This window comes from Homo sapiens, chromosome 16 (genome assembly GCF_000001405.40).
Source record: "Homo sapiens chromosome 16, GRCh38.p14 Primary Assembly".
NCBI lineage: Eukaryota > Metazoa > Chordata > Mammalia > Primates > Hominidae > Homo > Homo sapiens.
This window is the reverse complement of record NC_000016.10, coordinates 87,128,994-87,152,090: the sequence shown is the minus strand read 5'-3', so window position 1 is coordinate 87,152,090 and position 23,097 is coordinate 87,128,994. Positions and strand designations below refer to the sequence as shown.

Sequence of the window (23,097 nt, the reverse complement as noted above, 5' to 3'; positions counted from 1 at the left end):
GAGACCGAGCCTTGCTCTGTCACCCAGGCTGGAGTGCAGTGGCATGATCTTGGCTCACTGCAACCTCTGCCTCCCGGGTTCAAACGATTCTCCTGCCTCGGCCTTCCAAGTAGCTGGGATTATAGGCATGCGCTACCATGCCTGACTAATTTTTTTTGTATTTTTAGTAGAGACGGGGTTTTGCCATGTTGGCCTGGCTGGTCTTGAACTCCTGATCTCAAGTGATCTGCCCACCTCGGTTCCCCAAAATGCTGGGATTACAGGCGCGAGCCACCGTGCCCTGCCCCAGACTCTTTTAAACAACTAGATCTTGTGTGAAGTCACTGAGTGAGAACCCACTCATGACCAAGGGGCCATTCATGATGGATCTTGCCCCCATGATCCAACGCCTCCCACCAGGCTCCACTTCCAACACTGGGATTCACATTTCACCCCGAGATTTGGAGGAGACACCCATCCAACCCGTATCACCCACTGGGTGCTAGCAACAGCATTATGCACTTTACTCATTTAAGGTATGTTGTGATGTGAACAAATCAGCCTGTAGAAGAGTAGATGACCTGCTGCAATCTGGTGAAAAGGAATTTACCAAAAACGTTTCTGGGAGGAGACACGGAGGAACTAGCTGGGTGACAGGGAAATGGTGGGCAGGGGGTTTCTACTGGATGCTCTGGTTCCTTTTGCGTTTTGAGTCATGTAAACGTCTTACCTATTCAAAAAAATCTACTGAAGATGAAAGACATCAAGTAAGAACCACGGATGAACTACTACTTTGGAGGGGAACCATAAAAAAATTATCCTCGACAAGTTGTGGTCTCTGTCTGCTCCTTTCCCTTTCAAATCAAACTGTTCCCCTTAAGTGGAATTAGGTAATGTTAACAAAAAAAAAAGAATGAAAGAAAGAAAACAGAACTCTCCCGTATAGTCTCTTCCTTGCAGCCCTGAAGTCTCCAGTACTTTCTGTTTTCCTAAAGACTTTTAAATGGACTGTAACATGACACCCAACAACTAAGAACTATGCCTCAGAATTTTGGGCAGTGGTACTATTGAAATATTACAAAAGGAATTGTTACTGGCATATTATTCACTAATGTTATGCAAGGTATATGATAGTAGCTAAGACATGGGGTTTGGAGTCAAACAGATCTGGGCTTGGAGACTGTTTTGAACAGACCTATAAGCTGTGTGACCTTAGGCAAGTGAATCACCATCTCTGACCCTCAGTTTCCTCATTAGTAAAGAGGGGAGAATAATAGTACCTGCCTTGTAGGATTGCAGCGGGTGCGTGGCTGATGATGGTGATGGTGACAATGGTGACCCTCATGACTGCCACAAATCAGACGCAGGGTGGTGCTCATCCCCCATCCCTGTGGTAAGATTGCCCTCTGATATCTGGAACAAATGTCCCTTGGGTTTCATGGTCAGACGGGGGATGGAGTATGGGGCATGGAGCTCTGGCCTCGACGTTCTCCTCTGGAGCACGGCGCCGTGCTGGTGGCCTCCTGTGGTGCTCACACCAGTCTTGCCGGCAGCGGCCCCTCCTTGCCCAGCCTTGAGCTTAATTCATCCACCGCCCTGCTTGGATCGCTCTCGGCTCCTCACGGTGTTGAATGTTCTCAATGTTTGCCTTGTGGAGCCCACATTCTCTCGCCCTTCCTCCCTGTTCACCCCTGGGAAGATCCCTCAAGGGAGCCAATTAGCACCACGTTTTCAATGGCAGCTCCTCCTGGAATATGTGCAGTTTTATTTGATTTTCTTGTTGCCACCCAAGCATGGAATCCTCTCAGGGCTGGGCTGTGCTCATTTCACTGATGAACAAGAATAAATGCTGAGCTCACTTTACACCCAGAGCCCACTGTTCCCATCCATAGGAAGAGAATCAGGGATCCTGACGTTATTGTTCTATGCAGAAAGGAAAAAAACAAATCTCGTAGGAGCAAATGCATTGAGAATGGGTGACTTTTTTTTTTTTTTTAATGTTTAGAATATTATGTTCACTTACAAACTGCTTCTGTGGGCCCAGGAGCCTAACTCATGTTTGTGGAACTAATTTAAATTTGCTACAGAGTTTCCATAGCTCCTGCACCAAAGGGAAAACAGAGCCCTTCCTGCTCCCTCCCCCACCATTGAAGAAGCCACATGTATAATTATCTGCTGCTGTAAAACAAATTTTTTTCTTAAATTTAGCTGCTTAAGACAACAATAAACATTTAGTATCTTACACAGTTTCTGAAGGTTGGGAACTCAGGAGCAGCTCAACTGGGTGGCTGTGGTCTCTCATGAGGCTGTAATACAAGATGGCAGTTGGGCCGCAGTCTCATCTGAAGGCTTGACCGAGACTGGCAGCTCTGCTTCCAAGGTGGCTCCCTCACATGGCTGTGGGCAAAAGGCCTCAGTTTCTTGCTACAGGGGCCTTTCCATAGTGCTGGGCGTTTAAAGTAATGTATTCCAGCAAATCTGAGTCCTAAATCATATTTCTTTTTTTTTTTTTCCCCTTTGAGATGGAGTTTTGCTCTATTGCCCAGGCTGGAGTGCAGTGGCATGATCTCAACTCACTGCAGCCTCTGCCTCCCAGGTTCAAGCAATTCTCTTGTCTCAGCCTTTGAGTAGCTGGGACTACAGGTGTGTACCACCATGCCTGGCTAATTTTTTTGTATTTTTAGTAGAGATAGGGTTTCACCATGTTGGCCAGTCTGGTCTCGAACTCCTGACCTCAAGTGATCTGTCCACCTGGGCCTCCCAAAGTGCTGGAATTATAGGTGTGAGTCACTGTGCCTGGCTCATGAATCATATTTCTGAGAGTTGTTTTGTTTTTTCTTCTTTTTTTTTTCTTAAGTAATGTTCCTTGACTCAAACTGCAAAGTTCAACTCTCCTTGTAATGTGCAGCCACTTATGTCTCTGCTCAGTCTTGCTTGATTCTTATTTTTTATTTTTTAGCCTGGCTTCCTGGTGTTTTCCTTTGTCTCTGCATAACTTAGTGTTCAGTCAATGACTTGGTTGATGTTGTGCTTAAACACCTTGAGCCTGAAGGCTTACATTATCTGCAGTAGATCTGTCCACAGGTTGGTGATATGGTTTGGCTGTGTCCCTGCCCCAAATCTCATCTTGAATTGTGATCCCCATAATCCCCACGTGTCAAGGGAGAGATCAGGTGGAGGTAACTGAATCATGGGGTTCCTTCTCCTTCCTGCCGTTTTGTGAAGAAGATGTCTTCCTTCCCCTTCAACTTCCACCATGATTATAAGTTTCCTGAGGCCTCCCCAGCCATGCTGAATTGTGAATCAATTAGACCTCTTTCCTTTCTAAATTAGCCAGGCTTGGGCAGTTCTTTATAGCAGAGTGAGAATGGACTCATACAGTTGGGGAGTGTGTTTAAAGCCCTCCAATTTTCAGATCTTCCTTTGCTTTCACTTCCCAGTGGGCTCCTTGGTTTCCCCTGGGCAGAAGCAGTTTTCTAGACAACCAGGGACCAGGGGCAATCTGTTATCGATCTTCTATGCCTCTCTCATGGACCTCTGACTGCTTTGCTGCTCAGCCCAGCTGAGGCCTCAGCCTCTGGCCACCAAAGCTGTGAGCGTTCTCTGCCTGTTTTCAGATCACCCCTGTTAGCTGACCAAGCCTTGGATTTTTATCCCCCGACCTCCGAATCTGCTCCATCTGGTGGCCCAGGCACTGGTTTTCAAAGCCAACTCCATGCTGGCAAAGCTGTATTTTCTGCTGATCAAGAAGGGTGGGGAGATGGGAGAGGATCCAGATAAGAAGGCAGCAACTCCCAGTGTTCTTACCCAAAGCTGAAGCTGTTTTTCTTTTGCTTTTTCTTTTTGAGATGGAGTTTCACTCTTGCTGCCCAGGATGATGTGCAATGGTGTGATCTCAGCTCACCAAAACCTCCACCTCCCGGGTTCAAGCGATTCTCCTTTCTCAGCCTCCCGAGTGGCTGAGATTACAGGCGCCCACTACCATGCCTTGCTAATTTTTGTATTTTTAGTATAGATGGGGTTTCACCATGTTGGCCAGGCTGGTCTCGAACTCCTGACTTCAGGTGATCTACCTGCCTGGTCCTCCCAAAGTGCTGGGATTATAGGCGTCAGCCACCACGCCCAGCCTGAAGCTGTTTTTCAAGCATAGATGCTTCTCAGTTTGTTGTCTGCCTTTGGTTAATTTCCAGAACGCTGACATGGTTGTTCGTAACAATTTTGTCCAGTTTTACACTTGCTTCTTCTAGAGAGAGTTTGCCATAGGCCTTGGTCTGCTCATGAAGCAACTCTGGCTTCCAAGATCTCTGTCTCCTCCCACCCTCTCATGGACTTAGGGTTCATTCCTTAGCAAGAGATAAGGACTTAGGACTCAAATCCCAATGGGGAGTTGAGTTTTCAACATGTTGGCTCTTCATAGTGTATCCCCACAGTGTAAAACCATCGGACAAGGGCAAGAGGGCCTGGGCAGAGCCCTTATTAGGCATGGAAGTTGATTCAAAGACTCAGGAAGGGATCCCAGGCTCCTGGTAGATGGCTTCAGACGGTAGAGCCAAGCGTGCTGCAGAAGGCCTGTGAGTGCCCTAGCGCTGCCATAAGAAATGATAACAAATGACCGCAAGCAGGGTGGCTTTAAACAGGCACTCTTCTCTCCAAGTTTTGGAGGCCAGAAACCTACAATCCAGGTGTCGTCAGGGTTGGTGCCCTCTTGTGAGGTCAGAAGGAGAATCTGTTGTCTCTATAGCCTCTGGTGTTGCTGGCCATCCTGGGACTTCCTTGGCTTGGAGATGGATCACTTTACTCTTAGCTCTGTCTTCCTGCCACCCCTCATCTGCAACTACCTGTCTCTGCTCTCCTGTCTCCTAAAAGGACACTGGCAATCGAGTTTCAGGCCTCCCTGGATAATAAAGCATGACCTCATCTCAAAATCCTTAACAGAATTACATCTGCAAAGACTCTTTTTCCAAATAAGGCCACATTCACAGGGTCCAGGTGAACATGTCTCTTTCCATGATCTGAGGCTTGGGGCCTGGCATAACACCATGGATGGGGTGGGGGCTGTCCCAAGTCCATGTCAGTGAAAGCGGGGAGAAAGCCCAGGTGGGAAATGAGAGGACTCGGCAAACCCCAGGGCAAGAGGAGTGAGTGTGGCAGGGAAAGGAGGGTTACGAGTTCTTCCCACTTCTCCCCTCAGGTCTGGATGGGCTCCGTGACTGCTGGGCCAACAGAATGTGGCAGAGTGACGCTGTCCAGATTCTAAGCCAGGCCTCAAGAGACAGGCCCTTCCACTTCTGCCTCTGGGAAGGCTCCCCTTTGGACACCTATTCAGGGTTAAGTCAGCCTCTGTGTAAGAAGTCCAGTTAGTCTGATAGTGTCTTCCAAAGGGGCCACATGTAGGTGTTGTGGCTGAAATCCCAGATGAGCCCAGCCTTCCAGCTAACCTGTCCAGACTCCAGACATGTGAACAAAGCCACCTTGGACCCTCCAGGCCTATGCACCCACCAGCTGAAGTCTCCCAGACCACAGTCACTTCTGATACCAACTACAAAGTTTTTGGGTCCCCAAGTCCACCCTTAGGTTTGATAATTTGCTAGAAGGGCTCACAGAAATCAAAGCCAAACATGGCCCTACTCATAGTTACAGTTTATTACAGGATGAGATTTAAATTGGCCAAGAGTGCTGGGCGTGGTGGCTATGCCCTCAATCCCAGCACTTTGGGAGGCTGAGGCAGGAGGATTGCTTGAGACCAGCCTGGGCAACATAGTGAGAGCCTCTCTTTACAAAAAAAAGTAAAAAAATTAGCCAGGCATGGTGGCATGCTACTTGGGAGGCTGAGGTGGGAGGATTGCTTGAGCCTGGGAGGTCAAGGCTGCAGTAAGTTGTGATTGCACCCCTCTATTCCAGCCTGGGAGATAGATTGAGACCCTGTCTCAAAAAATAAAATAAAAATAACTCAGTCAAGGAGAGGGACACATGGTGCAGGTCCAGGAGGGTTTCTTGCACAGGGCTTCCAGCTGTCCCTCTCCATGGAGTCGTGGCCAGCATTAACTCCTCATGACAACAGCGTGTGATGGCACACACAGAGCATTACCAACCAGGGACGCTCCCCCAGCCTCGGTGTCCAGAGTCTTTGTTGGGGCTTGGTCACGTGGGCACGGCTGACACCATGTGACTGACCTTAACCTCCAGCCCCTCTGCAGGTCGAGCTGATGCCACGTGGTCCAAGGCCCCACCATGAATCTCATCATTAGCATAGACTGTCCAGGGTGGCCAAAGCCCCAGCTAAACAAAGATACACCAGGGAGGACTCTCCAAGGGCCTAGAGGTGACACCCCAGGAGCCAAGGGCAAAGGTCAGACCTTCTGTGGGTCAGCTTAACCTTTTACTGCCCATCCCTTGAGGGCCCGAAGAAGGAAGCGTCACCCTCTGGGGCCTGCCCAAGCTGATGACTCACGAATTCAGGAGCTCTCCTAAAACCGCTGCTGCCGCAGCCATTGGCTGTGGTGTCATTTGTTACATGGCAGTGAGTCATCGGCGCAGGGAGGAAGTGTGAGGGTAGGGTGAAGTTCTCCAGGGGACCCGAGGAGGCCGCCCTGGGAGTCGCTGTCCCACCCCAGACGGACAAAATGGCTTTGGGGTCAGATTGTCACCGCTGTACGTCAACACTGGGCGGGGATGGTGACTAGAGCTGAGAATGCAAGCAGCGCCTCACCTCTGCCCATGATTGAAACTGATAATGTGAGCAGCACCTCACCCCTGCCCGTGACTGGAGCTAATGCCAGTAGCTCCTCACCCCTGCCTGTGATTGAAACTGAGAATGTGAGCAGCTTCTCACCCCTGCCTGTGATTGGAGCTAATGCCAGTGGCTCCTCACCCCTGCCTGTGATTGAAACTGATAAAGTGAGCAGCTCCTCACCCCTGCCAGTGACTGGAGCTAATGCCAGTAGCTCCTCACCCCTGCCTGTGATTGAAACTGATAAAGTGAGCAGCTCCTCACCTCTGCCTTTCTATTTGCTGGCCCTGATCTTAGACTTGTGGGATTGAACTCCTTGCTTTAGTGAAACATCTTCTGGTTATTTCCAAAGTTACTGTTGAGGTCCCATAGGCTGGGATAGTCACAAGGCGTAAGCAGAGTGAGAGGGACCTGCTGTGCTTCGGTGGGTGGGACATCCTCTGTGCATCCCCTATCGGCCTGACAATTCCTTGCCCAGGGTCTTGCATACATGAGGGGCTCTGTAAAATTTTCTCAAGTGGTTGAACGTTTGGAGGCCAGAAAACACTCACTCTTAAGAACAGATGTGGCCCCAGCCATGACTGTCAGAGTCACTGGGACAGGAATCCAAGCAGATCAGTACAGACAATATAAGTCCTGCATTTGGGTTGAAAAGGTCAGTTGCCAAAATACAGCGCCAGGGTGGATGGGATTGACTAAGAAAACCCCGCAAACTCCAAATGAAAGGACAGAATGGCACTGAAAACCTCCCCACAGCCTCTGATTGTTACATGCTGACACCAGCGGAGAGGATTACTGTCTGAAGTTGTATTTCCTGAAGTACACAGACCATCAGTCCATGAGATGCTGATTAATAACCAAGTTCAGGGGTCAGATCAGCAGAGGCCATGCTACATCCCACGTGCCCCTCTCAGTGGTTGAAATTCACAACGCACGCTGGCGCAGTAAATGCTCTGAGAAGGCCTGCGGGAAGACACGTGTCATTTTGTTTTACTCGGCGTTTCCCAGACTCATTGCACTGTAGGCCCTTGGTAGTGTAGTGCCCGCAGATATCCCAGAGGTCGTGTTTCTGTGGAACCATTGCTGGAGAATGTCTGTTCCTAAGGAAGATGCTTCTAGGGGAGGTTTCCAGGTCAGGATGCAGTGGTGGCTTGGGGCCAGGATGTCCAGAGCCCAAAAAGGCAGAATGAGCCAGATTCCTGAATGTAGCGAGAAGGCGAGCCACACCGTCTCAGAGCCTGCAGGGCTTGGGTGTGAATTTGGCCCATGTAAGAGGGTCAAGGGCACCCCACGGGGCCCACGCCTTGCCTGTGCCTCATCGTCTGCCAGCGGCCCCCATGAAGCCCTTGTTGTTCTTGGCCACTGCCAGGTCCCATGAGTCTGCAGCCTCCCAGGTCACTTCCCAGGAACAGCTGGCACAGACCCAGGAGCAGATGAGCCAGGGCTCTGGGAGGTGCGGGCAGGTAGGGCACAGTGAGGCCCAAAGGATGGGGGACGCCCACCGGCCAGGCCTGAGAGGGGCCCAATGCTGCTCACACCCTCTCCCCTCAACCGTCAGGTCCCTGTAAACACCCTCAGGCCAGCCCTGGGCAACCTGAGAGGCATTCATATGGAAACCTCCGCCCGGCCTCGCATGCTGGGCTGCAGTGGGGCGTGGAGCGCCATGGTTTTGGAAGCAGCGGGGACTTGTAACTTCCCTGGGATGTGTCAGAGCCTGCGTGATGGAGGGCGGCCTGCAGGCTCTGGGCCTGGGCCCTGCTCAGCTAGGGCCCAAGTAAACACATCTCCGATGATCACAGAGTGCACCAGCTGGAAAGAAGCCTAGAGGCTTGTGCAGTGCAAAACTCCTCAGTCCGACAGTGGGGAAACTGAGGCTTGGAGTGGGGAAGGGATTGCCCGTGGCTGAGGCAGGCCTGGGGCCCCAGGCTGCGTCTGGATTCCAGGACTCCTTTGCACCCCCCGGGGGGCATTCTGAAAGCCGAGCTGCCTTACAGTTGAACATTGGGCAGGCTTTCTTCCCCTTTGGTGCTGGTTTGTGTTAGGTGGGGAGTAACGACGATAAGTTTATTTATTAAAACTCCCTCAACTTATAAAACAAAAGGAGAACAGTGGCAAATACAGGGATTCTTTCTTTCTTGAGTTTTCAAAGCACCAAACTTAATTTTTCTAGAAACCTGATTACCTTCTGCAATTTTCCTTATTACTGCTTCTCCAATTCATTTTTCAAAATGGTGAGCATTTACAAATGTTTGGGCAGGGCGTGGTGGCTCACACCTGTAATCCCAGCACTTTGGGAGGCTGAGGTGGAAGGATCGCTTGAGACCTGGAGTTTGAGACCAGCCTGGGCAATATAGCAAGACACTGTCTCTAATCTTTAAAAAAAGAAGTTTGATTATGGAAAATTTCAAGTATATACAAAAGTATAACAAAGTTCTGTGTACCCACCACCCAATATTAACAGAGATCCCCTCACCGATCTTATTTCTATACTTCTACCCTGACAACCCCAAGTAGCACTATTTTGAAACAAATTCATGATCTATATTTTCACGTCTAGCTATTTCAATATGTATCTCTAAAAGATAAGGAGCTCTCTCTTTTTTTAATGCAACATTTTATGTTTAGCTAATTATAGACTCACATGCATTTGTGAGTAATAGCACAGAAGCTCTGTACACTTAGGACCTTTCCTGTTAACATAACCATAATATTATTATTACACCTAGAATATGTAACAATAGTTACTCAATATCATCCCATATGCAAACAATGTTTGCATTTCCCAAATGAGTCATAATTTTTCTTTTATAGTTTGAATGATTAGCTTTTAATTAATTAACAATTTGTCCAAGGTAATCACATGTCCAAGTTCAGTGTCCAAATCTTATTAATTAAACATTTTCAGTTGCTTTTTTGAGATACAATTTGTGGACCATACAATTCACTCACTTAAAGTATACAACTCAATGGTTATGTATTAGCTTTTTTTTTTGTTTGAGACAGAGTCTGGCTCTGTCACCCAGGCTAGAGTACAGTGGTGCAATCTCGGCTCACTGCAGCCTCTGCCTCCCGGGCTCAAGCATTTCTCCCATCTCAGCCTCCCAAGTAGCTGGGACTACAGGCGCGTGCCACAATGGCTAATTTTTGTATTTTTAGTAGAGACGGGGTTTCACCATGTTGGCCAGGCTGGTCTTGAACTCCTGGGCCCAAGCTTTCTGCCCACCTCAGCCTCCCAAAGTGTTGGGATTATAGGCGTGAGCCACAGTATGCAGCCTGTATTAGCTTTTAATTTAAAATGTAATATGCCTCCATTGTAGATCATCCAAACAGTACTCTTGTAGAATGTTAAAACGAAAGCTTTCTGCTTATAGTCATCACTATCTATGGAAGGCCCCCTTTTTACGCTACCAGTTTAATAATAAAAATGACATATAGATGATGAACAAAAAAGGAAAAAAAGAACTCCTCTGACTACTGTACTTAGAAATAACAACCAAATTTGTTTCAAGCTTTTCCCCTTCTCTGAGGGTGCCTTTTTTAAAACAGAAAATTTAGAATCTCATAGACTTCGTGTGCTCGCCTGAATTTTATTGCAGGTTTATTGCTGAGGGATTTCTCTTGTTAACTCACTGAGCAAGACTCAAATGACAGTCAGGAGTGTTCGGATTATCCCTGGAGTCCTAACCAACATATCCATGGGATAATTTAGGGGACTGGTGAAACTGGAGGGAAAATGATCGCATCTTTATCTTCTCTAAGGCCCAATTGAAATTTAGCTTTTCCTTCCATGATGGACATAGGCAACAAGCCAATCACGTTAGCAGAATCTGTCATTTTGTCACCAACAAAATCACAGATCTTTTCTCATCATATATAGCCATGGCTGCTTTTCCAAACTCTAATTTGAGCTCAAGTGCTACTTCGAGGTAAGGACGTTATTAGACTCTCTGTGAGATCCATGTTTCTAAAAAAGCACACATCTGACTATATCACAATTTAAAATATTTTGATAACTATTTCAATGTAATTGTTTCTTTTGTAATTTCACAAATTTTATACATTTGAAAACATTCTGAGAAGAGCTTATTGGCTTTGTAAGACTTCCAGAGGGGTCTGAGATCCCCAGAAGGTTAACAGTGCCTGGATTGGAGAGAAATGCTTTTTTCCCTGAAGTCGCTGATAATTTATTTTTAATTTTTAATTTTTAAAAAACCCAGAGCCCCTTTGCAGAGCTCAACTGCCTCCTGCTTCTCACCGAAATCCTTTCTTGTTTTTCAGAGCAGAACGCAACCGGCGCCAGGGTCCCGGGGAGAGAGGCAGCAGGAAGTGAGGCTGAGGGGCTGTCTGTGTCGCGCAGGGAGCCGGGCAGGGCTGTTTTCCATGGCTGCCGGCCCTCTCCTTAGATGAGTACACAGCTGCTTTTCACAGCGCTCAGCCTGCCCTCCTGGAGGGATCATTTGAGGAGAAAATCCATCTCAACATCCACATGTTGTGTATCACTTGAACGCGGGGCAGGGCAAGGAAGACCAAAGCTCCCCCACTTTCAGGAGGCGACTCCTCCTTCTTTGCTGGACAGGGGCGAACAGGAACCACGTTGGCTCTGGAAGTTCACAGGGCAGTGGATCAGGGCTCAGGAGGAAGAAGATGGTGCAGCCGCAGGCACTTCTGAGTGACGAGAGGCAGGCATGCGTTGAAGGTGATCTGCAGGGCACTCACACACAGGGCTTGGCAAGGTCCCGCAGTCGTGGGGAACGTGGAAGTTCTGACCCAGGCCTTCTGTCACCGGTCCCAAGCCCACGTCGTTTCTGCGACAGCGTGACTGACCAGTAAGTCATCTGCTTACCAATGTCCCCCGAGCCAAGGACAGCGATGGAAAGCCGTGCGGTATCACTCCGGAAGAGGAAAGTCGGTGGCCTTTTAAGCAGGATGAAGTCAATCCTACAGGCCACATGGTTTGCCACGTGGCACATGCCTCCCCCTGTGACCTCATTCAATCCCTGCAGAGCCCCTGGCGGCCATCGTCGTACGGTTGGCACCAGCATGGACTCCAGAGCCCACCACCTGGCTTATGGCCCCAGCTCTGCCCTCATTAGCGGTGGAACCTGGCCAGCAACTTAAGCTCTCCATGCCTCCGTTTCTTCATCCATAAAATAAGAATAGCACTGGTACCCCTGCGCAGGGCTGCTGCGAGAATCAAGTGAGTTAGTATCTGCTTAGAGAAAGCCTGTTAACAGTGCATGCTTCCCATGGCTGTGGTAACAAAGTACTGCAAATTTAGTGGCTGAAAACAACACAAGTTTTGGAAGCTAGAAGTCCGACCTGCGTCTCACTGGGCTAGAATCAAGGTGTGGGCAGGGCTAGTTCCTCTGGAGGCTCCAGGGGAGAATCCCTTCCTTACCTTTTCCAGCTTCTAGAGGCCGCCTGCATTCCTTGGCTCATGGCCCCTCCTTCATCTTGAAGCAACATTGTATCTTTCTGACCTCAGCCTCTGTCATCACATCGTTCTCTGATTGTCTATTCAGCCTCCTTCTTCCATATTAAGGACCTTGTGATTGCATTTGACCCACCTGGATAACCCAGGGGAATCTCCCTATTTTAAGGTCAGCAGATTGGCAACCTCCATTCCATCTGCTACCTGAATTCCCCTCTGCCACAGAAGGTAACATAGTCACAGGTTCCAGGGGTTCGGGTGGGGCCATTCTTGGGGCAGCATTAAACCCCCAAGCTCGTGGATGTCTGGGGGCTAGCTGCCACATGTTACAGCCATTTTGCCTGAAATATTTTCTGTTTTAGTGGTGCCTTCTGGAGGTTCCCTTTAAACATGGAAAACTTCAGGAAGTGAAACGCATTCATTCATTTTCCAAACATTGTGCCTCAGGGAGCCGTGCTAGGCTCTGGGGATGCAGTGGTGGGCAAAACACAGTCCCTGCCCTCATGGGATTTGACATGAGTGTAGAGACAGGGGATTAGAAAGGAAATAAATGAAAACTGAATGATCGATTGTGACGTGTGCTTTTGTGGAAACAGGGTGCCTCGCTGGAACTTAACGTGAGGGGAGCCAGTGTGGTCTGTGGAGGCTCCTTTGAGCAGGTGACATCTGAGCTGCCCTCTGAAGATAACAAGGATCCAGACATGACGGGGAGAAGGAGACGCTGCAGGCAGAGGACAAAGGTGCTAGATGGACCCAAAGGTGGGAATGGGCTTGGGTGAGAAAAGGCACGTGCAGCTGGAGTGCAGGGCATGGGGGTCCTGGGGGAGGTGGACAGGGGTCAGAGTTAGAGGTCGGGGTCAGGGGCCCAGATCACAAAGCACCCGGCCTTGTGCTTGGAAATGGGGGTGAGTTTGCATTTAATTCTGAATTTTGAGACCGGGCGTGGCATAATTGAAATGCTATGTTCTATGTGTTCACACATCGGTGGAGTGGGAGGGTGCGGCCCTGAGTTTCTGAGATTCTTAGCTTGTCTCAGCATCAAACCCTGCCTAGAATTGGAAGGTGGCAGCTGGGTGCGGCGTTCTCAATGGTACCATTCTACATAAGAGCCACCTAGTTATCCATTCCCTACTTCCTGCGATTGACTGTGCCTGAGGTTGCCACTGCCCTGCCTGTGCCCTGGGCACTCTCACGCTCAGCTTGTGATGGTCTGAATGTTTCTATCTCCCTAGATTCCTGTGTTGGAAACTAAGACCCCATATGATAGTATTTGGAGGTGGGGACTTTAGAGGGTGATTAGGCCGTGGTGGCCCCTCCCTTGTTAATGGGATCTGTGCCTTATAAAAGGCTCTGGAGAAATAGCCACATCCTTTGCCCTTCTGTCTCCTCTGTCAGTTAAGGACGCAGTACTCCTCCCCTCTGAAGGGCACAGCAACAAGGCGCCACCGTGGAAGCAGGGTCCAGGCCCTCACCTGACATGAAGCCTGCCAGGACCTTGATCTTGGACATCCCAGCCTCCAGAGCAGGGTAAGTTCTGCTTCTTATAAATTACCCAGTCTCAGATATTTTGGACTAAGACACAGTGCATGCTGGTGACCTTGTGTAAGTACCAAAAATGTCCCAATTGGCAGTTCCTGTCCCCACCTGATAGCTCCTCTCAGCCCACACATGGGCAGACCAGGGGTGCTAGGGGGTCCTCAGCAGCCATGGATGGGAGTTGGAAGATAAATACCCCCAATTCCTCACCTTTTGGGTGGGATATGCTGAGAAGTGTTCTATACCATCTCCTGAGGTTCCCAGCAGGGTTGAGCTGGTCAAAGGTCAAGTTGTTAAGAATTTCCAGATGGCAATGGCTGAGTGTTAAGCCAAGCCCGAGGCTCTCTGAGGCAATGTCCTGTGTGGCTGCACAGGGTGTGCTGAGGCCCCACCGTCTTTTCTTATAATAATTCAGCTTCTTTATTAACCTTATTTTATTTTTAAAAAATCGTTCTTAGCTTAAGCTAGCTCAAGTCGGTTTTATGTTACATACAACTAAAGAAGCTTTGACCAGGCAGGTGTGAGAAGACTCAGAGGTTCCCTTTCCTGGGTAGCATTTTTACATTTTAATGATGCTGTTTTGGAGATAGCACCAAAATGACTCTGATGGAGAAGACTTCAGGAAGGTCTCCTTTGGGAGACTTGGCAGCTCCAGGACTGCTGGTCCTGGCCCAAAGCACCATTCCAGCCTCTAGACAGTGATGTCCTTGTCTTATTTTATGCTGCTATAACAGAATGCCACAGGCTGGGAAATGTATAATGAACAGAAATTTATTTGGCTCATGGTTCTGGAGGTTGGGAAGTCCAAGATCGAGGGGTAGCATCTGGTGAGGAACTTCTGGCAGTGTCATCCCACAGCAGAAGTGTAAGAGAGCCAGAGATAGCAATGCGGCCAACTCACAGACCCAGGCCCTTTTGTAATTGTCATTAATCCTTCCATGGGGGTGGGGCCGTGATGACCTAAACCCCTCCCATTAGGCCCCACCTCCCAACACTGTTGCATTGAAGATTAAGTTTGCAACGCATGCTTTTTGGGGGATGGATTCAATACAGAGCAGTCTTGGATTCAGTTTTTCAGCAAGACTTACACACACCTTTCGATGGAAAGAAATGGGTCACAGAGAAGGCAGCATTTGGTCCAAAATCCCAAGGTTGAAAACCACCAAAGACAACTTGCGTCCAAGGTTCCAACTGCATAACTCAGAAAAAAAGACAACCTGACCATGGAGGTGTTACCCCAATGACTGGAGGGCAGCCTGGAGACTGCTGCAGAGGCCATGGAACTATTTGGTGGCCCAAAGGGTGGGAAATTATGACCATAAACAACCAAAGAGCAAATATAGAAGGGGAAAAATCTCCTGGGTGAAGCAGGTATAGAAAATGGTTTTGTTTCAGGCACAAAGTCTCATCAGCTGGCAAAGACTTTCTAGAGGCCTGGGATTGATGATTGAGGTCTGACAAGGGCACAGAGTGGGGAGAATGAACGGCGAGCTCTTGGCATCCTGGAAAGGAGAGTTCTCCCTGGTATCACTGCCTCTGCTCCTATAGGGAGCTATGCACAACATTATTTTGAAGCTGGAAAGGTAGTCTGGGGCCAGTTACACAAGAAGAGCTTTCAATGCTGAGAATGAAGGAAGGAGCCTCGCTCTGTCGCCCAGGCTGGAGTGCAGTGGCGTGATCTCAGCTCACTGCAGCCTCCTTCTCTTGGGTTCAAGCGCTTCTCCTGCCTCAGCCTCCCAAGTAGCTGAGACTACAGGTGCGCGCCACCACACCTGGCTAATTTTTGTATTTTTAGTAGAGACATGGTTTCACCATGTTAGCCAGGCTGGTCTCGATCCCCTGACCTCAGGTGATCCACGTGCCTCAGCCTCCCAAAGTGCTGGGATTATAGGCATGAGCCACCATGCTTGGCCTAGCTTTGGTCTTTCAACCTTTTAACATCTTTTTTTTTTTTTTTTTTTTTTTGAGATGGAGTCTTGCTCTGTTGCCCAGGTTGGAGTGCAGTGGCGTGATCTCAGCTCCCTGCAACCTCTGCCTCCTGGGTTCAAGCAATTCTCTGCCTCAGCCTCCTAAGTAGCTGGGATTACAGATGCCCACCACCACATCCAGCTAATCTTTTTTTTAGTAGAGACAAGGTTTCACCTTCTTGGTCAGGCTGGTCTTGAACTCCTGACCTCATGATCCACCTGCCTCGGCTTCCCAAAGTGCTGGGATTACAGGTGTGAGCCACTGCGCCCAGCCTTAACATCTTTATTTTTGGCTTTGCTCTTCCCCCAAACTGATATCTCGTCCCCCCTTGTCTCTTCCCTGACTTGAAATCCCATTTCCTTCACCAATTTCAGTTCTATTCCCGCCCCACCCCCAACTCCTCCATGGGTCACCCTCATGCCAATGGCTTCTCCTCACTCTCTGTAGAAGGGGAAGTGTCCAGTGTGATCCGGCGTTCATTCCCAGGTACACTTTCTGGGCTGTGATGTCATTGATCCAGGTCACCGACATACTCTTGAAGCATGCGGATTCAGCACAGTGCTGGCCACTGCAGGAGACCCAGAGCAGTTGTTCACCCATGACTTGTTGGTGTATGCATCTCAGAATGTTCTAGAACAACCCAATATGGCTGGCCCCAGAGTGGTACCACAGTGCCCTCTTCCTGGACTGGGCTACCTTTTTCTTATGGGTCTCCAGCAGATGGGTGCCTGTTAGAGAATCTGGGAGGAGCTAAGCCTTGGGAGTGGCTACGGCAGAACCTAGGGCAGGGCTCACAGGGAGGTCTCTTGGGTCAAGGTCCGGGCACCTTCCTGTCCCCTGTGTTCTTGAGCCAGCTGGAATTCAACTAAAGCAGTAATGGTTGCCATTGTGATTAGTGGACTAGGAGGGGCATGGTCCCTATGTCTGGAGTGAATGCTCTTGACACAAGCTTTTGTGCTTCTATAAGTAAAAGCAACGACAGAAAGCCAGGTTCCTCCCACATCCTGTTTTTCTTCTCGATGCCAGAATTTGAAGTGCTCTTCATTCCCTGTCACCATCAAGCCTCTAGCCTGGCAGTTGGTGGAAGCAGAGAGAAGAAGCAGAGACATGAAGTGACATGAAGTGAAGGACCAGGCCAGCTTTCTGGGTTTGAAGCCCGGTCTGTGACTTGCTAGACTCTGTAACTGTGGACAAAGTACTTAAATTCTCTGGACATCATTGTCCTTTTCTGTAGAGTGGAATAATAAGAATCCCTCTCCTAAAGGGGTGCTGTGATGATTAATAGGTTTATATATGTTAAGGCTTAGGAGAGTGCAGAGGAGACACTCAACCATTGTCCCAGCACCAAGAACTCCACTCATGGGGACAACATGAACCTGGCTTCTGAGGAAGTGTCTCCCCTCTGTCCCCCATTCACTCACAGCTTTCCAAACAATTTGCAAGAGTCTGTCTTCCCCTAAAACCAAGTCCTGGGGACGCAAGATTCACAGCCTGTGTCCTAGAGAATAGAGAGAGGGGGGTTGCTTGGAGGGAGGCTGGTGTTTATGTTAGAGCTTCCATTACTCTCTCTGCCTCTGTGAGCTTGACAAGTCGCATGGGTGCCTGGAGACATTCGAATCTGAGTGGTTTTGTTCACATAAGAAGAATAGATGAAGGGCAACTAGCTGAGGTTTCACAAGGATTTCCATGGCATCGCTGGGGGACCAGGGAGCCTGCGGGTGGAACTCATGGCCTGGGAGTTGCTGGTGGATGTGGGGAAGTGCTTGTCTGCACAGTGCATGGACACGGCAGGCGGGTAACCAAGGCTTGTGGCTTGGGAAATGGTGAAGAAGCTCAGGAGCAACTTGGAGCTGACGTGGGCTCCTTCCCGGCTTCCTTCCCTCCTCCAGCCCCTGAAGGGGATGACTCCTCGTCACCTCCACAGGTGTACGGGCATGTGCTAAGGGCCTGTGGTCAGCGGGAGAGGAGGTCCAGCGCACCCTTGAACTTCCTGCCGAGCTTGTCACTAGCTGGCCAGGTGGTATAGACAGCGACAAGAGAAGGGGCTTTTTGAAAAACCAACTGTTGAAGTGAAGACACATGACCCCAGTGTGCACCCGTATGCTGTTGACCCTGGAGGGGCCTGGCTGCCTCCCACCCTCGCCCACCCATGCAGCACATTCCTGCTCCCTGTCCATGGCCCAGTTCAATTGTCACCTTCACCACACAGCTGTCCCCGACCATCCCCAGACACAAGTGCTCTCTTCCTTCTTTGGGCTTCTGAAACTCTTCTTAATGGGCTGTGTCACCGGCATCTGAAACACACCCCGGCACAGGGTGGGCCGTCTGTGAAGGCTGGCCGAGGCAAAGGACAGATGGCTGCTGGGTGTGCTGGGGCAAATTGTGTCCTCCCAAACTCATGTCCATGCAGAACCTAAGACGATGACCTTATTTGGAAAGAGGGGCCTTTCAGATGTGATGAGGTCTTATCGGATTAGGGTGGGCCTGAGTCTAATGATTGTGTCCTTATAGGAAAAGGGAATTCAGGTACACAGACACACACAGGGAAGCCGTGTGTTGAGGAGGCAGAGGTAGGAGCAATGCAGCTGCAAACCCAGGATTTGGGCAGCCACCAGGAGCCAGGAGAGGCAGGAAAAATCCTCCCCTAGAGGGAGCGCGACCCTGCCCACACCGTGATTTTGGACTGGGCCCCTAGAACTGTGAGAGAATAACTTTCTGTCGTTTTGATCTCCGGCTGTGGTCCTTTGTTTTGACAGCCCCAGGACTCATCCAGGTGGACCCTGCTCCAGCCCGGATGCCCGGCCGTCAGGGCAGGTGACCAGGGTCAATCACACAGTGGATGCCCCGGCCCCCTGCCCATCACGACCAAGGCCCCCACTTTAGCCCAGGCCAAGCACTTTGCTTCTGTCGATCTGTTCTTGGCTAAAACTAGGGATGACGGTGAGGGGTGACACACAGAGGCATCTCCACTGCAGAATGGGGAGGACCTTTTAGTTTCCGCAAGTGGCTGGGAGGGTGGGCTGTGGAGTCTGACAGACCCAGGTTCAGTTTCTTCCTCTGTTACTAGCTAAGCACAGTGCGCTCTGGGCTCCCTTCCCTTCTGTGAGCCTCAGTCTTCCCATCTGCAAAGAATGGGACCGACAACAGTACCGCCGTCAAAGTTGTGTCGTTAGGATTAAATGAGATGGAAGGCACATGCCACGGAGCCTGGTGCATCGCCAGGGCCTCTTGTATGTTCTCCATTGTTGTGATTGTTGTGTGGAGAGGTTGGCACCATGCTTGGTACATAGGACATGCTCCATAAACGGTCATGGCAGCAATTATATTGATTCATGATGACAGAGGGAGTATTTGCAGTGTAGCCTGCCCCGGAAGTCAGGGTGAACAGTCCCCTAAGGCTCACCCCCAATTTTGAGGTTAATTTCCCTGGGAGCTGGGACCAAGGAGGGAGAAGGGAGCTTTGTTTGGTAACAGAAGATCTGTCCAGCGGCTCCCAGTGATGGTGGCTGATCAGCCCGATGGGAGGCCTCAGCCCGGGAATGTTTTCTTTCCATCCGTCTCTCAGAGACATTTTCTTGCCAATCAGGGCATTGGGAAGGCGGGTGGGGAACAATGGAACGCGTTGTCCTCACTCCCTGCTGCCTTGGCTTCGCGGACAGAGTTCACTCAGCGTGTAATCCTTGAGGCATGTGAAGCCCGCGGCAGCGAGGGAGGAGGAGAAATCGCCCTGCATCAGGGAATTAGAAACAGATTGCTGGACGGGGCCAGTGTGTCCCAGGTGGGCCCTGCACGGGCACCGCTGGCAAGTCTTCCTGGAAAGGTGTCCAAGAAATGTAGCCGGCTGCTGGGGCTGGTGTAGACTGACATGGCTTTAATGATAAGGCCCCTTGTCAGGCTGGACTGACCCAGGGGGACACAAGCAGCCCCCAGCGTGGAGCCTTTTCCCTCTTACCTGTTCATCTGTCTTGACATCTGTATCTGTAAAGGAGGCTGCTGTCTCTGCATGCAGAGGGGAAAAACCCAGGTGGGTCAGGCTGGAGCTGGAGGTCGGAGGAAAGAGAGCAAGGCAGGAGCCTGCACCTGTTCCTGGCTTCACCAGTGAAGGTCACGGTGTGACCTTGGCCTTGTCACTCTTCCCTCTGCATCTCGGCTTCCTGTGTAGAATATACAAATGGGCACGAGAAGCTGTGCTTGCACTTCATTAAGGAGACAGCAAGGGCACCGTCTCCTCAGGAGCTAGAATGCTGGGGAGGGGACAAATGTGGAGACAATTTAGTCCAGTAGTTCCTAGCCCCGACTGCAAGGCTGGGTCCCCCAGGAGTTATCCAGCCCCCGCCTGGCTTGCTCAGGCAGGACCTGCAGGGCTGCATGTGGAGGATGACCCTTAATAACCTTCTGGATGGCTCTAATGCAAAGTGAGTGTGAAGGGATGATCTGGGCTGTTTTCTCCCGAGTTCACGGGTTCTCACAATTTCCACACGATTTGTTTGCTCACCTGCTCCCTGCACCTCCTGCTTCACTGTCTTCTTGCCTCCTCTCTCTGCAGCTCTCTGCACAGCGCACTGGCTCCAAGTACAGCCTCTGCAGCCTGACCTCGGATGGAGCCTGCGTTTGCCGTGTGCCATCTGTGGGCCCTCTGTGCCTCAGTTTCTTCATCTGTGAACTGGGCACAGTCAGCTCCCTAACTCTCAGAGTGAATGTGTAGAGCCCTCAGTGCCTGGCAGGCTGCAAGCTAGCCTGTCACCACGGGTGCTCCCAGTGTAGACCTTCTGTGGTATTTGCCAGGCTTGGAAGCTCCAGGTGGGTGTTTTCAACAGAGATGGAGAGAGAGAGTGAGAGAGACACACAGAGAGAGAAAAAGACACAGAGAGAGAACTAGAGAGAGAGAGGGAGAGAGAGGGAGACACACAGAGAAAAAGACACAGAGAGAGAACTAGAGAGAGAGAGGGAGAGAGAGGGAGACACACACAGAGAGAAAAAGACACAGAGAGAGAACTAGAGAGAGACGGAGAGAGAGGGAGACACACAGAGAGAGAAAAAGACACAGAGAGAGAACTAGAGAGAGACAGGGAGAGAGAGGGAGAGAGAAAGATTTAGTAGCAACGGCGCATCTTTTTGAGAAGCGTTCAGGACGACAGGTTGGGCGGAAGGGAGGCCAAGAGGACAATGCTCGCGTCTCCACCTCCTCAGGAGGGGACCCTGCGGGACATTGATGGGGCCACCCCTGCTTGGCTACACAGAGTTGGTTTCAAACCTCTCACCTTTTGGAGGTGGGGGTGGCTTTACTGCTATTAAGTTCAGGATAGACTGAGACTATTTGTTATTGGTTATAAGTATTAGCATTTAACAATAAAGATGATGGGCTGCCCCCAGGGCACAGGGGGCTCCAGGCAGGTGTTTTTTGCCAGGCTCCTGTCTTTATGAACAATCTGAATGACTCTAAAGTCATTTGGACTCTGGAGACCCAATCTCATGAGACCTCAAACAAGACACAGACAGTCCCCATCCCACGATGGAGTGAGGGGCAACAGGCATCCTGCATGCTTCTGCACTCACGATAGGGTTATATCTGGATGAAACTGTTGTAAATTGAAAATATTCTAAACCGACTTATGATAGTTTTTATGTATGATGGGTGTATCGGGATGTGACCCCATTGTAAGCAGAGGAGAATCTGTATGCTGCCCTGGTCAGTGGTGCCAGGCCTGGGCACTGGACTATTCAGGGTGACTCCATATGTGCAAGTCTTTTTTATTTTTTTCTTTTGAGGTGGAGTCTCACTCTGTTGCCCAGGCTGGAGTGCCGTGGCACAATCTCAGCTCACTGCAACCTCTGCCTCCTGGGTTCAAGTGATTCTCGTGCCTCAGCCTCCTGAGTAGCTGGGATTACAGGTGCATGCCACCACGCCTGGCTATTTTTTGTATTTTTGGTAGAGATGAGGTTTCACCATGTTGGCCAGGCTGGTCTCAATCTCCTGGCCTCATGTGATCCGCCCGCCTCGGCCTCCCAGAGTGCTGGGATGACAGGCGTGAGCCACCAGTCTTGAAGCTGCCCAGGGCACGTGGTCAACAACCTCTTGCAAAAAGTAGAGGTGAAGACTGGGGAGAAGTGAGAACTGAGGCTTACATGGTTCCCACCCTGACTTGAGGCATACCACTTGGATGGCACTACCCACCTACCTCTAGGAAGGCCTGAGCTCCCTGCCTTCAGCGCGGGTCTTTTTCTTTTAAATCGCCGTGGAGCTGGTTCTCTTTCCTTTGCGCTCTGTCTTGTTCTCTGGCTCCGGTTCCTCTCTCCCTCTCCCTCTGGCAGTGTTTCTGATTTGCTCTGCTGGAAAGTAGCAGCAGTGACCAGTGACCCTTACACAAGGCAGGAAGAGGGGAGCTGGGGGGTGCAGGTTCTGATGGGGGTGAGTGGGGAGGACAGGGCGGCCACACACCAGACAGGAAGGAATGCCCCTCCTCAGCCGGGGACTTGCTAGCTTTCCTGCAGGCTGTTACAGGCTATTTTCCCTAAGGGCGTGTGAGTCATACCCAGAGCTCACCTCTAACTCTCCCCTTCTTCCACCCCATGTGCTGCCTCCAGGTCCTGCTCAATTCAGCTGAAGGGCTATTTATCCAGCACCTCCCCTGTGATGTTTTTAGGAGAGTCAGCCAGAACAAATTATAGAATCAAAAATCTGAGTATTGTCAAGGCTCTGGGAACTTGTTGCCAATTTGCTTTGTGTTCTCGTGGGTTGGGTGTGAGGCTGCCGTTTTCATCACAGCTGCACCAGCACCGGATGTTCTGTTTTATCATGTTTTAAGAGATGTGTCTTTGGAGGGCCCTTTGTCTCGCAGGGAATTGTCCTCCAAGTCAGAATCAGGAAGGAGGAGGCCCTGGTCTTGGATGTGGAGGGAAGGCACTTTGGCTGAATGGAAGGAAGTGGAGACGTGGGGAAATAGGAACTTTGATGCTCTGCTGGCTGGAGCATGAACTGGAGCAAACCTTTTGAATCTCAAGCTGGTTCTGATGAGGCCAATGCACAGCTAATGTGGTTGGCACTATAGTGTTCCCAGCTCTACCCCAAAGACACCCACTAATGCCCAGAATCTATGAACATGTTACTCCACGTGGCAGAAGGTGCTTTGCAGATGTGATTAAGTTAAGGAGTTTGAGTTGGGAAGAGTATCCTGGATCATCAGGGTGGTCCCAGTGTCATCACAAGGGTCCTTATGAGAACCGGGCAGGAGACTTTGCATGAAAGGAGAGGGGAGAATAGAAACAGAGGTTGGAATGATGGGGCCACAAGCCAAGACATGTGGGCGGCCTCCAGGAGCTACAGAAGGCAAGAGGACAGCTTCTCTCCTGGGGCCTCTGGAAGGAGCCAGCCCTGCTGACTCCCTGATTTTTGCCCAGCAAGAAATGTCATTTTGGAATTCTGACCTTCAGAATAAATGGGGTGGTACTAAAT

General features: G+C 50.2%; 4 annotated features.

The window, feature by feature from the left end:
• Nucleotides 988-1,488: an enhancer, noted in NCBI's record as "H3K4me1 hESC enhancer chr16:87184209-87184709 (GRCh37/hg19 assembly coordinates)". NCBI's record gives its function as "activates a minimal SCP1, AML or CMV promoter by ChIP-STARR-seq in naive H9 embryonic stem cells {active_cell/tissue: H9 hESC(naive)}" and the evidence as "EXISTENCE:reporter gene assay evidence [ECO:0000049][PMID:30033119]".
• Nucleotides 1,489-1,989: an enhancer, noted in NCBI's record as "H3K4me1 hESC enhancer chr16:87183708-87184208 (GRCh37/hg19 assembly coordinates)". NCBI's record gives its function as "activates a minimal SCP1, AML or CMV promoter by ChIP-STARR-seq in naive H9 embryonic stem cells {active_cell/tissue: H9 hESC(naive)}" and the evidence as "EXISTENCE:reporter gene assay evidence [ECO:0000049][PMID:30033119]".
• Nucleotides 10,752-11,951: an enhancer, noted in NCBI's record as "CDK7 strongly-dependent group 2 enhancer chr16:87173746-87174945 (GRCh37/hg19 assembly coordinates)". NCBI's record gives its function as "activates an origin of replication core promoter dependent on BRD2, BRD4, P300/CBP, MED14 and CDK7 cofactors, with strong dependence on CDK7, by STARR-seq in HCT116 cells {active_cell/tissue: HCT116}" and the evidence as "EXISTENCE:reporter gene assay evidence [ECO:0000049][PMID:35650434]".
• Nucleotides 19,076-19,892: an enhancer, noted in NCBI's record as "H3K4me1 hESC enhancer chr16:87165805-87166621 (GRCh37/hg19 assembly coordinates)". NCBI's record gives its function as "activates a minimal SCP1, AML or CMV promoter by ChIP-STARR-seq in primed H9 embryonic stem cells {active_cell/tissue: H9 hESC(primed)}" and the evidence as "EXISTENCE:reporter gene assay evidence [ECO:0000049][PMID:30033119]".